This window comes from Homo sapiens, chromosome 2 (genome assembly GCF_000001405.40).
Source record: "Homo sapiens chromosome 2, GRCh38.p14 Primary Assembly".
Taxonomy (NCBI): domain Eukaryota; kingdom Metazoa; phylum Chordata; class Mammalia; order Primates; family Hominidae; genus Homo; species Homo sapiens.
In genome coordinates this window covers 231,707,821-231,720,955 of record NC_000002.12, presented here as the reverse complement: position 1 = coordinate 231,720,955, position 13,135 = coordinate 231,707,821, and the positions used below count along the sequence as shown (strand labels likewise).

The following is a 13,135-nucleotide window of genomic DNA, read 5'->3' as shown; positions in this document are numbered from 1 at the left end:
CCCAGCCTCCCTCCTATTCATAACACTGACTTTTCATAATGGAAGATCTCCTACCCCATTCTCACCCTCTGTCCAAGTGCCTCTGTGGGTCTGACTTGTGGGTGGGGCCACATGACCAGATCTCACCAGTGACAGCCTTCTGCAGGACTTAGGCTGGAACCATGGGGAAAAAGACTGGTTCCCCCTCAGAGATGGCGGGTCCCAGCAGGCCCCATGAGGAGAACCTGCAGAGCACAGCCCAATCCCAACTGAACTAGGAATGGGGAATGAGGGGCTGCTGGCTTCCCACAGGGCTCATGATGTCTGTCACACTGCTTTCTCAAGAGTTTCATTAGAAAACTAACAGTCCTGTTAACATACTACCTTTTCAGCCCTCCCACTCCCACCACCAAGCTAGGTGAAGAAGCTGCGAACAGTAGTCACCATATTCAATAGTATTATAGCTGTGAAACGGCCAGAAAACAAAACCAATGCCAAAGAAAACAGAGCTGACGGAGGGCGGGAGGGAGACGGGTTCCTGATGACATGGTTTAAGGACCTGAATCCTGCTGTACCTGAAGCCATGCTATCTCAGAACATCCTAGTGACAACAAACTTCCTTTTTTCATAAACCAGTTTGTGTTAGGTTTCTGTCACTTGCAACTGAAAGAGACCTAACGGATGTGCAGATTGCTGTTTTGCCTTTTTTTCTTTGTTTTCTTTCTTTCTTTTTATTGATTGTTAATTTATTTCCCTGCTGAAATCTATGTGTGGAAAATTTACAAAACAACCTTAAAGAAAAAATAATTCCACCACCAAGAAGTGACATTTTGGTGAACTTCATTCGTGACTTTTTTTTTCTTGATCATTAGATTATACTGTAGACACAATTCTGTATCAACTTTTTTTCTCTTGACATTTTAAAACAGGCTCTTCTCTACATTATTCAAAACTACTTGTAGTTCTGGAGGGAAGGGCACATGCTTCACATTAACAGTTAACAGAGGGCTACTGGACCAGACAAGGGGTTGAGCGGGGGTCTCACTGTATTCCTCACATAGTATTTTTGTCTAGCGTGAAGGTCATGCAGTGGGCCTGGAATGCTTTTATAAATTTAAAAACAATTTTGAAAATTTCTCGTAAACATTGTGATATCTACCAAGTGGTTATACTGTAAGTGACTTGCCTGCTTCCTGATGATCGAGCATTTGGCTTGTCTCTAATTTTTTACTCTTATCAATCAATAATGTCAGGCCAGGCACAGTGGCTCACACCTGTAATCCCAGCTACTCTGGAGGCTGAGGGGGGAGGATGGCTGAGCCCAAGAGGTCAAGGCTACAGTGGGCCCAGATCATGCCACTGCACTCCAGCCTGGCAACAGAGCCAGACCCTATCTCAATAAAATAATAATAATAATAATAATAATAATAATAATAATGCTGTTATGGACACCTTCAGGTCTAGTGCCTCCCTCAGCAGTTCTTTTTTTTTTTTTTTTTTTTTGAGACGGAGTCTACTCTGTCTCCCAGGCTGAAGTGCAGTGGCCCAATCTCGGTTCACTGCAACCTCCACCTCCCAGATTCAAGCGATTCTCCTGCCTCAGCCTCCAGAGTAGCTGAGATTACAGGCGCGCGCCATGCCCAGCTAATGTTTGTATTTTTAGTAGAGATGGGGTTTCACCATGTTGGCCAGGCTGGTCTTGAACTCCTGACCTCAAGTGATCTGCCCGCTTCAGCCTCCCAAAGTGCTGGGATTACAGGCGTGAGCCACCTTGCCCGGCCTTTCCTCAGCAGATTTCCTGGCAGTGGAACTTCTAGGTCAAAAGTATGTGCGCATATTTTTTGGATCTTGATATACAGGATCAAAATGTTTTCCAGAAAGGTTTATGCCAGTTTCCACGTTTTACTGTCCCCCCACCTAGAAATGCCAGTTACCTCCTCAGCCAAGGGCATGCCTGTCTCCCGTGCTGGGCTGACACTGACACGGAGCGCTGTCAGCACAGGGCCCAGGCTGCCTGCAGCCATAGGAGGATGAGGCCCATGTGGGGTTCCAAGAGCCAGACTGTGGAACAAATTCTCAAAGGAATCCTTCTCCATCATCTGCTTAGTTCAGCAAACATTTCCCGAGCCCTGGTGAGGGTCCTTGTGCAAGATCAGCTTTTACTGGACACTAATGTCCTTCAATATATTAATAGCGCTCTGTGAAAAAATCCAGGTCAAATAAATTGAGAGCGAACTGCATGCTAAACTTTCCTCTCGGAAACTCAGTACCCTTTGTATATTAGAATTCCCTGGGCACTGCCCAGTGCCCAGTGAGTTCTACAGAAAGAGAACCTTTCTCTTTTGTTTTTTTGTTTTGTTTTGTTTTAAGACAGAGTTTTGCTTTATCACCCAGGCCAGAATGCAGTGGTGCAGTGGTTCACTGCAGCTTCGACCTGCCAAGCTCAAGCTATCCTCCCACCTCAGCTTTCCATGTAGCTGGGACTATAGGTGCGTGCACCACCACTCCTGACTAATTTTTAATTTTTTGTAGAGACAGGGTTTCACTGTGTTTTCCAGGCTGGGGCTGGTCTCAAACTCTATATCTCAAGTGATCCTCCCACCTCAGCCTCCCAAAGTGCTGGGATTACAGGCACGAGCCACAATGTCCTGCCAGAAAACCCTTTTAGCATTGCTTAACCTAGCGTTTCTCCAGATGGGATGGAGTCACCTCCCCTTTCTCAGGTACACCTTGGGGCAGAGAGACAACTGGGAGGTTCCAGGCTGCATGAAGACGGGATCTCACACCTTATCCAGAAGCCTCCCAGGGCCATCGAGTCACTTCAATGAGTGTGTCTGCCTGTAAGGCCCGATGGGAGCACTGGGAGGTCAGCGGGCCAGAGATCACTGTGGGCTGGAGAAGAGGGGATTAGAAGCTTCACACAGAGGACGCCAGGTGGGCAGCTCAGATGACTCGAGCCATCCCCCCACCTGGCTGGAATGGTTCAGGCAGGACTCAGATCCTGCTGAGAGACTGACCATGAGATCACAGCCTCTTCTGAGGCTGACTCACCTCTCTGTATTCCTCCCAATCTGGAAACCACACCAGAAAAGGCATCCCCACACCTCTGTCCCCCACCAGCAAGCTGTCTTTGTTCATGGAGGCCTAGTTGGCCCTGGAGACTGAAGCCTGAAGCCCTGCATTCTCCCTGTTTATTAGTTGGGAGTCTTTCAGTTACGGATGACAGAAAACCCATCCTGAACTAGCCTAAACCGGGAGGAAATTTACTGGCTTGTGTAACTGAATACTCCGCGTGGCTGGACTGAAGCACTCAAGCAATGTCATCAGAATTGAGGTTCCTCTGCCTCTTGGCTCAGTTCTGCTTCTCACTGAGTAGTCTGCAGCCTCATCTTCTCAGCCTCTTAAGTTCAAATCCCTGAGGGACAAAACCAAATGTTTCTTCCCTTTCCGGCAACCCCCGCAAAAAAAAAAAAAAAAAAAAAAAAAATCCCAGAACTCCTTCTGATTGGATGACTTAGGTCATGTGCCAACTGTGAACCAACCAATGCAGCCAGGGCACCTCAGGCCACTGATTGGCCAGGACCAAGTCACATGTTCTGCCTTGGGGCTTGTCTGAGTGTGGGAGGGGGGAAGTTCAGAAGGAAAGCTATGGCCTGGTGGCTCACGCCTGTAATCCCAGCTACTCGGGAGGCTGAAGCAGGTGAATGGCTTGAACCCCGGAGGCGGAGGTTGCAGTGAGCCGAGATCACGCCACTGCCCTCCAGCCCGGGCGACAGAGCTAGACTCTGTCTAAAAGAAAAAAAAGCTGGACATTGCTTCAGGGCATTACTGCCAAGAAAAGGGTGAAGGAATGGCTGCTGGTGGCAAAAACAATAGATGTCCCCTGGGACCTTATGGAATCCACCAGCAGCTCCTTTCAGTAAGGGATCTGCTCCCTGCCCAGAGTCTCACAGTGGGGTCCCCACATGGGTGCATGTAAAATGAGGTTGCTTCAAGTGACCACCTGGTACTTCTTGTTGCTGTGGGTGACAGCCTTGACAGAGAGCCCATGGAGGCATACCATCGATCCTTGGCTATGCTCAGGACTTCATGGAATCCACATCAGTCACTGGCTGCTAGGCCTTCTCTGCAAACAATGCATGTGTCATTCACCCAGTATATAAATAGGGTCAGTGTGCCGGACGGCCTTAAAATGTTTCAGCCATGTTTCCTAATCTGTGCTTCCTCCACCTCTCTGAGCTCAGGCCAGACCCATGAGCGTAGGCTGAGGTATCCCGAGAGGAACAGCTCAGAGCACAGCTCTGCCCCATTCCCTGGCTGGTTCTGCCCATGCCTCCATGGGCCTGGGGTACAGGGAGGACAAGCAGCGACACAGCAAAACTGAGCACACTTGCATCAAGGAGATGGGCTGCTGAGCAGACAGGTTGGGCATAGCGGGGGGCCAGGCCTGTGAGGCCCAGCCAGACTGAAGCAGGCCCCAAATAACACGGGGCCCAGGGATTCCACCCTCATGAAGCAGCTCCCACCAGGAGGGGACCACGCAGCAGCCAGCGCCCTGAGGCAGGCAGGGCTGGCCTGTATCTAGGACACAGGCATCCAACCCGCAGGCTTGGTAGAGGCAGGGTAGGCAGCAGGGCCCTGGAGGGACTGAGATCTGGGAGGAGTTAGGAAGGGCCAGAGGCTGAGGATCCTGACCCCAGGGCTTGTGATAGCAGTAGAGGAGAAGCAGTACTGATTCCTGGGGCTGTGTAGCCAACAGCCAAGATAAAGCCAGGAAGTAGAGCTGGGAGCCCCTGACTCCCCGCCCCCCATTCTAGTGACTGAGTCATTCTAGTCATTCTAGTGAACACCCCCCATTCAAACTCTCCTAGTTTGTACTCAGGGCAGCAGTCCCAGTGAGGGTGTGTGGAGTCCAGTGAAGGAGTGTGGAGTCCAGTGAGGGAGCGTGGAGTCCAGTGAGGGTCTGTAGAGTCCAGTGAGAATGTGTGGAGTCCACTGAGGATGTGTGGAGTCCAGTGAAGATGTGTGGAGTCCAGTGAGTAAGGGTGCGTGGAGTCCAGTGAGGGTGCGTGGAGTCCAGTGAGTGAGGGTGCGTGGAGTCCAGTGAGTGAGGGAGCAGGGAGTCCAGTGAGAGAGTGTGGAGTCTGCTGAGGCAGTATGGAGTCCAGTGAGTGAGGGTGCATGGAGTCCAGTGAGGGTGCATGGAGTCCAGTGAGGGTGCATGGAGTCCAGTGAGGGTGCGTGGAGTCCAGTGAGGGTGTGTGTGGCCACAGGGAAGCCCAAGACCGTGGAAGAGTGGACCCCTGCTTCCAGCTTTGGTTCCACGTAAAGGACTCAGTCCTTGGGAGAGGGCATCAGTTGCCCAGAAGGAAGGTCTGGGAAATGACCACTGACTGTCACATCTGACTGGGGTTCCAGCAACAGAGAGGGAGAAAGGTCTTGTTGCGGGAGTCAGGTGGAGGGTGACTGGCGTTGCCTACCTTGGGACCAGGGCCCACTGAAGGGTCTTTCCTGGACAGAATTCAGCGGCACGCTTTACAGTTCCTCTGTGTCCACCAGGGGGCGCCCATTCCTTGATAATCTTTTAACCTGGGCTCCAGTGGGAGGTCATTCGGGGACTTTGGGAGTGGTATCAAGGTGACTCTGGGCCCTGAGGTATATCCTCAGGCAGTGGTTAATTGTGTGCTAGGCTCAGGACTAGGGGTAAGTGTGTTCTGCTAGAACCAGCAAATGCTGTTCCAGGCCAAACCTTTGGTGGGATGAGGCAGCTCAGACAGCAGAGGCAGTAAGCTCTGCTGATATGGGTGTCTCAGGGGGACCCTAGCAAGGCAGCCCTGGGCCCTGGCTCATGCCTCATCCTATTGTTCCCATTTTGCAGAGGAGGGGATTGAAGCCCACAAGGTTCAGTTACTTGCCTCATGCTAACATGCCTGCCGTGTCTGTGTGCGGACCAGGGCACAGCTTCTCCCCTTTCAGGGGCCTTGCGGTAGTGGTCCCGAGCAGGACTGCAGCCTGAGGGAGCTGGGTTAGATCTGCTCTCAGCTCCAAGCGCTACCTGCCCTGTGTGGCCTTCCTTCACGGCCTTCGCCTGCACTCCTGCCTTAGAGACACCCTCCTGGGCGCCGAGCTTGGGAACACTGCAGTACTGAGTCGCCTTGGGCGGCAGAACAGAGAGGAGCCAGCGTTTTGGCTCCAGACCCTCCCTTTCTTCCCTGGATGAGCCAGGATGCAGATACCCAGGCTGTGCAGGGGGTGTGGGGTAGATACAGGTCAGAGGGTCCCTCCTACCAAGGCCTCAACCTGCCCCCGATCCTGGTGGCAGCTGCCTGGGGACATGCTGAACAAGCGGCCTGAGCAGCCCCATGAGAGTGACTAAGCTCCAGCCAGAGAAGGGAAAGGTCCCCCCAGAACTCTGGTGCCTGGTGTGAAACACAAAGGTCGGGGGGGCATGGAATGGGGTGGACACGGTGTCAAGGGGCAGGTAGAGGGAACTGGTCTCTCTTGCTCTCTTCAATGCACACATTTCCCTCCTTCCCAGCATCTCCCCTTAACCCAGGCCAGGCCTCTGCAGACACTTCAGTCTGCTCCTGGGAGTTTTCCTGCAGATACCACTGGATGGCTTCCTCAGGTCCTACCTGGGCAACAGGCCCACTAGCAGTGCCTATACCGGCCCCTGCCCCTGCAGCTCTCATTGGAGGATCCCAGAAGGTTCTAGGTGAGCTCTAATCCTTACCTCCACCTCTGAGGGCACGAGCTGGTGGCACTTCCTCCAGTTGGCTATCCTGACCCACTGCTCACAGCCCGTGTATGAATATCCAAACGGCACAGTAACTTCTCCAACTGTGTTCAAGGGGCAGGGTGGGCCTGCCCAACTAACCTAAGGGACCTGGAGACCAAAGGTTGGATGACTGCCAGGCTGCACCAGTGCCAAACCAAAACCCCGGCATTCTAAGAGGCCGGGGGGTACCACGTGCCACCAGCAGGGGGAGCCACGTCATGGAGCTAAACCTGTGAGGCCTGCAGAGGCAGCCACCACTTGGACGCTCATCCTGGGAGGCTTGGCAAGTTCCCTCTTGGCCTATACCACCAGCACCCTGCGCTCCACATAATGGCAGTCCCGTGTGGCCCGTTTCCAGTGTCTAGGACTGCAAACCCCCACCCCCAGGGCACCAGGGTCCCCATGTGGCACCCAGTGATGAAGTCCTCCTCCCCAGTTAAGGCTTCTTGGGGCAATCACTGACTGCCCCAGTGAGCAGCCCCCCCAGCCAACTGCAGCTCAGTCCCTGCCCACCCACCAGACTCTGCTGCCCATCACAGGACACATCCAACTGCCTCCCAAAATGTCAACCCACTGTCCCCAGGATCCTCCCCCTCCTATCCTTGTGCCCTGGAAGGTCTGAAGAAACTGAAACAGAAAAACCAGGCTTGAGACAGCTTTGTTAGAACAACTCAGCAAAATAAAATTCCTGTTTATTGTTGGACAACATTGTTTCACACATACATCAAACAGGCCAAAAAAAATAAACAGCAACTTCATAGACAAAAAAGGAAAAAAAAAGAAACCTTTTATCTTTGGCCTTTTTAACCATCTCATACAAACCAACTACTTATAGTACAGCTAAGTACATACACAAAAAAGTTACTGGAATGCTCGGAATAAGATTGTTTTTCTGTTGTCATTTTTGCTTTTTTTACAAGGTTTTTTTTCTCCTTTGAGATTATAATGAACATGGTCACACCACAAGTAAAGTCAGAAGTAGGACAGAGAACGCTCCGAAGGCTGGTTTGGTCATCCGAGATCATTAAAAATGGCTGACCCTAACAATATGTACAAAAATATAAAATGTAAATAAAAAATACAAACAAATTTCCTTTTTAAAGTACTTTTAAGAAAAAAAGCAGGGCCTTGGAAGTTTTGGTTCTTTTTTCCTCCCCTGTTGCAAATTCTCATGGTTTGGGTTGGGTGGTGGAGAGCGCGTGTCATCTGCGGGTGGCACTGCCCACGGTGGGCGGGCGGGCCTCTCTACTCGAAGGTGACCACGTTTAGATTCTGAGACGGGAAGTGGAGGGTGAATAGGTCACGGCGGCCTTTTTTTTTTTAGTTTAACTTTTCCTTTTTTGCTGTCTAGTCATCCTCGTCGGTCTTCTGCTTCTTGGTATCGACATCGTCATCCTAAGCAGAGAAAGACTGTCAAAGGCCCCTCCAACCCCAGGAGCCCTATCCAGCCCACTGCCTCAGCTCCTGCTGGCAGAGCAAGAACCAGGGACCCCCAGCTCCACAGCCCAAGGCCTCTGGGAAGTTGAGCCCAGCCCTGTTTCCTTCCTGTTCTTAAGATTCAGGACCACACAGTGGCCACCTACAAAGTCAGAAACAGTCCCTCCGCAGCTTGAGCACCTCAGCTAAAGGCAGGTGGGGAGACCCAGATGCCAAACCCCCCTTCTTCTCAAGCCAGAACCCACCTCATCATCTTCAGCTGCCCGCTTGCCCGTAGCTGACTCAGCTTCCTCATCTTCATCTCCATCCTCTTCCTCACCTGGAGAGAATCAAAGGCCAGGTAAACCACACTTCCCTCCTACTGTGGCTCCTGGGGAAATCCCGAGGAACATGTAGTGGACTGCAAGGTCCCTGCCCTGCCTCTACTGCCTGCAACTGGGCCCAATCAGGGCACCCACGCCCACTACACAGGTGGGACTCTCCAGAGGAGAGAGGCCCAAGCAGCTGCACCCCAAAAGGCCAGCCCAATAGATCAGTGGCTTTCAGAGCTGCACGAAAGAAACTTTCAGGTGTGCGAGTGAGTGTGAGTGGGCATGGGCACAACTCCATGTCAGGGAGACCTTCCCTGACTCTACAGGTGGGTGCCCAGGGCCATGTGGTCCACTGGCCCCAAGTACCATTGTCCCACTCCCAGGAGCCCCAATTCCTTCCTTCCCCTTCTGCCAGACAAGGCCAGGAAAAAGTACCTGAAAAGGGGAAGATAGACAAGGCTACTCACCATCACCTTCTTCTTCCTCCTCCTCTTCCTCCCCACCTTCTTCCTCTTCTTCGTCTACCTCATTGTCAGCCTCCTGCTCCCCATTTTCCTCATTCTCCTCGACAGAAAACAGGCCATGTCATTACCAGCTGGCCCCAGGCTGGACAGAGCGTTGCTCCTGATGCCCGGCCTCCCACCAGAGGCTGGCGGCTGCATCTACAGCCCAGCCAAGCCAAGCCCACCCCAGAGACCCTTCTCCAGTCAACACCCTCCAGGCTCCATCATGAAACCTGCACATTAACTGCCCCAGGACAAGGGCTTTTCCCCACCCTGGGCCAAGCCCAAACTCAGACTACCGGAGTCTCCTCTGAACCTATTCTTGTTCAGGCGCTGCTCGAAAGGTTTTTATAAATATTTAACTAGCAATAATCGCGCCTCGGGTAAAGCTCATTGGCTACGATACTGCCACTGTGCAAAGCTATACATATACACATACACACACATATATAGGTATGTTTAAAGTAGAACAGGAAAAATTTTGTGGGGCGGTAGCTGCCAGGGCTCAGGAGCAAAGCAGACACTCACAGCATTCCCGTTAGCAGGGGCGTCTCTTCCATTTTCTGCCTCTTCCACAACTTCCTTCTTCTCCTTTAAGTCCTTCAAAAGGGAAGAAGGAACCAGTAACCAGTAAGTCTTCTGAGCAACCCAGGGTAAGCAAAGGCGCTGAGAACTACTGGTCTGTACGGCTGTTCTGTCCGTCCCAAATTAAGAGTCGCATGTTGAGAAAGGCCTGATGCCCCTGCGGTCCCTCTCCCACTGGTCTGGTGGAAGGAAGGCCGGCGGGGGGCATCTGTGATCAAGGTTTCCCATCCTTTAAGGCCCGCTACAGCGGCCCCGGTGGCGGTTCCCACTGCCCCCTGGCGCTTCCCAGGAAAAAGGAGCCATGTGGCGCCACAGCCCCCAGCCCGTCCGGCCGGGTGGACGAGCCCCGGACACTCACGCCCATCAGCCTGCTTCCAAGTGCAAAGAGCCCGCCCCTCGAGCCGTCTAGAAAGGCGGCAGGTTATGTTCCAAAAATAAATAAGGCAAAGAGAGAGGGGCCTGCGCTCGGGGAGAGCCCCACAGGCGCGCCAGCCTGGAAGGCCCGCGAGGCCGCACCGCCCCGGCCAGGACAGGTATCTAAAAAAGCCAAAGCACACCGACCCCCCAAATCCGACCGCTGTTCCTAGAGGCCGCAAACCGCTGCTTGGCGGTGCCCCAGGCCGGGGCCTGCCGCCGGAGCCACCAACTCCCGGCCTCCCCGCGGCGGCTAGGGATCCCGACAGCACCTCGGGGGTGGGACTCCGCCCGGGATCCAAAAGGCAGCGCGGCCCCGGGCGCCCGGTAACTTTTTCCACACGACACGGCCACCAATACCAACAGAGGTCCGGCGTCCGGGCCTGCGGGAACCCCTCGGCCGCTGTCCGGCGAGCGGCTCCGGGCCACCTGTCGGCCCTCTCAGTCCGGCCCGCCCCGCTCCGCTCCGCGGACCCCGGCTCCGCCCGCTCTCGCCCCCTGGCGGCCGAAGCCCCGGGGAGCAGTGGGGGCAGGGAGGTCGCGGCGCGCAGGCGCGCATCCCCCGCCCGGCGGGCTTTGCGCGCGGGCCTCGGCACGCACCGCGCGCAGGGAGCACGTGGCCCGGGGCCGCCGAGTGCGTCCCTTGCCTTGGAGACTCCCGGCCGGCAGGCAGAGCTTGCAGTGGCACGCGCGCGGGTCGCGCGTCGGTCGGCCGGGCTCTCGACTCGACGCCCCACTGCCGCCACCCCGGCAGGCCCGAATGTCTGCATTCGGCGGGCCAAGTCCCACGGGAGGTCGCCCCAAAGTCCACCGGGCTGCGTAGGTCCGAGACTGTCGGGGATGCGCCTCTCGGGCTACTACTCATCGCCCTCGCGGGAAGTCACCTTTTGGTGCTTCGGAGAAAATCGAACAGCCAGGCCCCGCACTGGGGACGGTGTTCTCACCCCACAAACTCATTCCCGGACTGAGTCCAGAAGGGGTCACTGAGAGCCCCTGTGGAGATCCGGGCCCCGAGCTCCGCTCTGCCAAGAAGTCGCCCCTGGGAGAGTCAGAGATGACGCCAGGGACACAAGGGTTAAGGAGACGCCAAGGTGACTCGCGCCAATCCCTGCAGGGGCACGACGGGCGCGGACGAGGGCCGAAATATTAAGAAAGAGCCAGTCAGTCTGAGAGCGCCCCGCTCCCGCCAAGGGCGGAGACGCTACCCAGGGCGGGCAGTGGGACCGAGGCGGCGCCGACAACAGGAGCGGAGCCGCACCAGCCGCGCAGGACCTCATAGCCGAGGGCAGTGAACCCGCCACGGGGCCCGGGCGCCCCCCCAGTTCGACCCTACCATTGGCCTGTCGCGGCCGCCGTGTTGGCCCGCGTCGCCCCGAGCTGCGGCGCACACGGTGCTCCCGGGCAGCCGCGGGGGGCGCCCATCGTCGCCCCAGCGCCGCGCTTCACTTTCTCTTTCCTCCCTGCGGCGCGTGGGCTCTCGCCTCCTCAGCCAAGCCCGGCACCGCGGGTGCATGACTGAAGCTGGGCGGCCGCTCCCGGCGCACTCACCTCGAAGGGCGCCCACCCCCGCCTCCCAGAGCGCCCAAAGCGGATAAGCCCGTCACACCTCCGCCGGGACGGCCGACGTCGCGGCCAGCCAGCCCGTCGCCCCATCCGCCTTATCGGGACTTAGTCTAGACAAACCACCTCAGGTCCGCTGCAGGGCGCGAAACCGCCGGCCTGGCGCCGAACAAAGAGCAGCGCGGCCGGCGGGCGCTCGCCGCCACTTCCCGCGGCCGGCCCGCGCCCCAACACGCGCCCCCCAGCACTTCCGATTCCCAACGCGCTTGAGTTTCAAAGTTATTTCCGTGCGCCCGGCGGGCCGACGACCCCCAGCCAGGCTCTTCTCCTCCCGCCGCCACTCATACCGGCCACAGACGAGTTTCGAGGGCCGTGAGCCGGCCTCCGCGCCTAGCCCTCGGCCCCCGAGGGCGCCCGGCCCACTCCCCGACGGGCATCACGTCTGCCCGCGGCGGTTCCCGCCCCCTCCCCCGCACCACACAAAGAGTGGGCTGCCTGAGGGCACCGCGCCGGGGGCGGGCCGTTTCCCCGCGAGAGGGAGCAACAGCGGGCTTGAGACAGTCCAGCTGCTGCGCGCCAAACACCGCCCGAGCGGCGGCGCGCGGACCCCGAGGGGGCGGGCGGCGTCCAGCCTCACCTTGGTGGTGATTTCGGAGCTGGTGTCTACGGCTGCGTCTGACATGGTGGGGCACGCCGGTGATCCGATGCAGGGGATTAAAAAGAAAGCGAGAGTTCAGGGACTCTGGCGATAAAGCTGCCGGAGTCCGCGGCGGCGGAGGAGGCGCGCGGCGGAGGCGGCTGCGGCGAGCAAGGAGGCGGATGAGGAACAATGCAAAGATGGCTTTTCAGAGCAGCCAGTGGGGGACTCACGCGGCGCCAGAAGCTTTAATATAGATTAGTGGGCGGCGCTCGGCTTCCCATGCCCGGCCGCTATTGGCTGAGCGCAGGGAGCGGGCGCTCGCTCATTGGCTCGATTCCGAACAATGGACAAGCGTGCTTAAAGCGGCAGTGCCCCGGCGCGTCCCGCGCTGCGCAGTCGCCGATCGCACTGTCATTCAAGGCCGGAGTTTGCCGGGTCTCAGCAGGGCCGAGGGCGCGGGGGAGGGGTGCGCGAGCGCGTTCCGGACGCGCGCTCCCGCAGCTGTTTTGCTGGGGCTGCTGACGCAGAAAGCCAAAGCGCGGCAAAGCTGCCCGCCCAACCCCCTTCCCTCCCTCTCCCGCCCTCCCCGCGGCTGCTCGGAAGGAGGGGGAGGGAAGAGGGGGCGGCGGGCACACGACGGCTGCCAGCGCGGGGGAGGGGAAGGCGGGGTGCTGGGCCGCGCTCGCCCCGGGCGGTGCCCAGCGCAGTGCCCGCGGAGGTGCCCGCCCCCCGCGCCTGGGCGCCTTGGACCAAGGATTGTCCCAGTGCAAGTGGACGGCAGCCCCACGACGAGCAACGAGGTCACGAGGCCGAGACCCGGGCACCTGGGCCGCCCCGTCCCTCTGCCATGCCCTCGCGCCCTCCCAGGGCAGGGCACCCCTAGTCCTGTGGGCAGGCGACCTCGATTGCCCACCATCAGGTCCGGCGT

At 56.9% G+C, this 13,135-nt stretch overlaps 1 protein-coding gene, 1 non-coding gene and 1 pseudogene across 3 annotated transcripts, besides 21 other annotated features; all 3 read right to left on the bottom strand.

Moving 5' to 3' along the window:
- Positions 1 to 80: an enhancer, noted in NCBI's record as "active region_17315". NCBI's record gives its function as "activates an Ori minimal core promoter by ATAC-STARR-seq in GM12878 lymphoblastoid cells {active_cell/tissue: GM12878}" and the evidence as "EXISTENCE:reporter gene assay evidence [ECO:0000049][PMID:35858748]".
- Positions 4,603 to 4,897: an enhancer, noted in NCBI's record as "tiled region #12341; K562 Activating DNase matched - State 5:Enh". NCBI's record gives its function as "activates a minimal TATA promoter and a strong SV40 promoter by Sharpr-MPRA in K562 cells {active_cell/tissue: K562}" and the evidence as "EXISTENCE:reporter gene assay evidence [ECO:0000049][PMID:27701403]".
- Positions 5,226 to 5,755: an enhancer, noted in NCBI's record as "H3K27ac-H3K4me1 hESC enhancer chr2:232579911-232580440 (GRCh37/hg19 assembly coordinates)". NCBI's record gives its function as "activates a minimal SCP1, AML or CMV promoter by ChIP-STARR-seq in primed H9 embryonic stem cells {active_cell/tissue: H9 hESC(primed)}" and the evidence as "EXISTENCE:reporter gene assay evidence [ECO:0000049][PMID:30033119]".
- Positions 5,425 to 5,664: an enhancer, noted in NCBI's record as "active region_17314". NCBI's record gives its function as "activates an Ori minimal core promoter by ATAC-STARR-seq in GM12878 lymphoblastoid cells {active_cell/tissue: GM12878}" and the evidence as "EXISTENCE:reporter gene assay evidence [ECO:0000049][PMID:35858748]".
- Positions 5,756 to 6,285: an enhancer, noted in NCBI's record as "H3K27ac-H3K4me1 hESC enhancer chr2:232579381-232579910 (GRCh37/hg19 assembly coordinates)". NCBI's record gives its function as "activates a minimal SCP1, AML or CMV promoter by ChIP-STARR-seq in primed H9 embryonic stem cells {active_cell/tissue: H9 hESC(primed)}" and the evidence as "EXISTENCE:reporter gene assay evidence [ECO:0000049][PMID:30033119]".
- Positions 5,943 to 6,237: a silencer, noted in NCBI's record as "tiled region #810; HepG2 Repressive DNase unmatched - State 25:Art". NCBI's record gives its function as "represses a minimal TATA promoter and a strong SV40 promoter by Sharpr-MPRA in HepG2 cells {active_cell/tissue: HepG2}" and the evidence as "EXISTENCE:reporter gene assay evidence [ECO:0000049][PMID:27701403]".
- Positions 6,295 to 6,454: an enhancer, noted in NCBI's record as "active region_17313". NCBI's record gives its function as "activates an Ori minimal core promoter by ATAC-STARR-seq in GM12878 lymphoblastoid cells {active_cell/tissue: GM12878}" and the evidence as "EXISTENCE:reporter gene assay evidence [ECO:0000049][PMID:35858748]".
- Positions 7,405 to 12,431, bottom strand: PTMA (prothymosin alpha). 2 transcript variants are annotated; one of them, NM_001099285.2, is made up of 5 exons: positions 12,205 to 12,431; positions 9,537 to 9,608; positions 8,973 to 9,069; positions 8,440 to 8,513; positions 7,405 to 8,152 (listed from the first exon to the last, which is right to left on the bottom strand). In NM_001099285.2, the coding sequence occupies exons 1-5, from the start codon at positions 12,247 to 12,249 to the stop codon at positions 8,105 to 8,107; spliced, it is 336 nt and encodes a 111-aa protein (NP_001092755.1). In that variant the 5' UTR covers positions 12,250 to 12,431; the 3' UTR covers positions 7,405 to 8,104. The 2 variants fall into 2 exon arrangements, with proteins under 2 accessions (NP_001092755.1, NP_002814.3); NM_002823.5 differs by having other exon boundaries at positions 8,973 to 9,066.
- MIR1244-1 (microRNA 1244-1) lies at positions 7,558 to 7,642 on the bottom strand. Its single transcript, NR_036052.1, has one exon. It is a non-coding gene; the product is annotated as a microRNA 1244-1 (primary transcript).
- Positions 8,257 to 8,757: an enhancer, noted in NCBI's record as "H3K4me1 hESC enhancer chr2:232576909-232577409 (GRCh37/hg19 assembly coordinates)". NCBI's record gives its function as "activates a minimal SCP1, AML or CMV promoter by ChIP-STARR-seq in primed H9 embryonic stem cells {active_cell/tissue: H9 hESC(primed)}" and the evidence as "EXISTENCE:reporter gene assay evidence [ECO:0000049][PMID:30033119]".
- LOC124906134 (uncharacterized) lies at positions 9,348 to 9,431 on the bottom strand (annotated as a pseudogene).
- Positions 9,803 to 9,852: a silencer, noted in NCBI's record as "silent region_12445". NCBI's record gives its function as "represses an Ori minimal core promoter by ATAC-STARR-seq in GM12878 lymphoblastoid cells {active_cell/tissue: GM12878}" and the evidence as "EXISTENCE:reporter gene assay evidence [ECO:0000049][PMID:35858748]".
- Positions 9,803 to 10,692: a biological region, named in NCBI's record as "H3K27ac hESC enhancer GRCh37_chr2:232575199-232575835".
- Positions 9,831 to 10,467: an enhancer, noted in NCBI's record as "H3K27ac hESC enhancer chr2:232575199-232575835 (GRCh37/hg19 assembly coordinates)". NCBI's record gives its function as "activates a minimal SCP1, AML or CMV promoter by ChIP-STARR-seq in naive H9 embryonic stem cells {active_cell/tissue: H9 hESC(naive)}" and the evidence as "EXISTENCE:reporter gene assay evidence [ECO:0000049][PMID:30033119]".
- Positions 10,153 to 10,242: a silencer, noted in NCBI's record as "silent region_12444". NCBI's record gives its function as "represses an Ori minimal core promoter by ATAC-STARR-seq in GM12878 lymphoblastoid cells {active_cell/tissue: GM12878}" and the evidence as "EXISTENCE:reporter gene assay evidence [ECO:0000049][PMID:35858748]".
- Positions 10,283 to 10,692: a silencer, noted in NCBI's record as "silent region_12443". NCBI's record gives its function as "represses an Ori minimal core promoter by ATAC-STARR-seq in GM12878 lymphoblastoid cells {active_cell/tissue: GM12878}" and the evidence as "EXISTENCE:reporter gene assay evidence [ECO:0000049][PMID:35858748]".
- Positions 11,107 to 11,744: an enhancer, noted in NCBI's record as "NANOG-H3K27ac-H3K4me1 hESC enhancer chr2:232573922-232574559 (GRCh37/hg19 assembly coordinates)". NCBI's record gives its function as "activates a minimal SCP1, AML or CMV promoter by ChIP-STARR-seq in naive H9 embryonic stem cells {active_cell/tissue: H9 hESC(naive)}" and the evidence as "EXISTENCE:reporter gene assay evidence [ECO:0000049][PMID:30033119]".
- Positions 11,183 to 11,492: a silencer, noted in NCBI's record as "silent region_12442". NCBI's record gives its function as "represses an Ori minimal core promoter by ATAC-STARR-seq in GM12878 lymphoblastoid cells {active_cell/tissue: GM12878}" and the evidence as "EXISTENCE:reporter gene assay evidence [ECO:0000049][PMID:35858748]".
- Positions 11,745 to 12,383: an enhancer, noted in NCBI's record as "NANOG-H3K27ac-H3K4me1 hESC enhancer chr2:232573283-232573921 (GRCh37/hg19 assembly coordinates)". NCBI's record gives its function as "activates a minimal SCP1, AML or CMV promoter by ChIP-STARR-seq in primed H9 embryonic stem cells {active_cell/tissue: H9 hESC(primed)}" and the evidence as "EXISTENCE:reporter gene assay evidence [ECO:0000049][PMID:30033119]".
- Positions 11,923 to 12,102: a silencer, noted in NCBI's record as "silent region_12441". NCBI's record gives its function as "represses an Ori minimal core promoter by ATAC-STARR-seq in GM12878 lymphoblastoid cells {active_cell/tissue: GM12878}" and the evidence as "EXISTENCE:reporter gene assay evidence [ECO:0000049][PMID:35858748]".
- Positions 12,323 to 12,382: an enhancer, noted in NCBI's record as "active region_17312". NCBI's record gives its function as "activates an Ori minimal core promoter by ATAC-STARR-seq in GM12878 lymphoblastoid cells {active_cell/tissue: GM12878}" and the evidence as "EXISTENCE:reporter gene assay evidence [ECO:0000049][PMID:35858748]".
- Positions 12,384 to 13,021: an enhancer, noted in NCBI's record as "NANOG-H3K27ac-H3K4me1 hESC enhancer chr2:232572645-232573282 (GRCh37/hg19 assembly coordinates)". NCBI's record gives its function as "activates a minimal SCP1, AML or CMV promoter by ChIP-STARR-seq in naive H9 embryonic stem cells {active_cell/tissue: H9 hESC(naive)}" and the evidence as "EXISTENCE:reporter gene assay evidence [ECO:0000049][PMID:30033119]".
- Positions 12,384 to 13,022: a biological region, named in NCBI's record as "NANOG-H3K27ac-H3K4me1 hESC enhancer GRCh37_chr2:232572645-232573282".
- Positions 12,623 to 13,022: a silencer, noted in NCBI's record as "silent region_12440". NCBI's record gives its function as "represses an Ori minimal core promoter by ATAC-STARR-seq in GM12878 lymphoblastoid cells {active_cell/tissue: GM12878}" and the evidence as "EXISTENCE:reporter gene assay evidence [ECO:0000049][PMID:35858748]".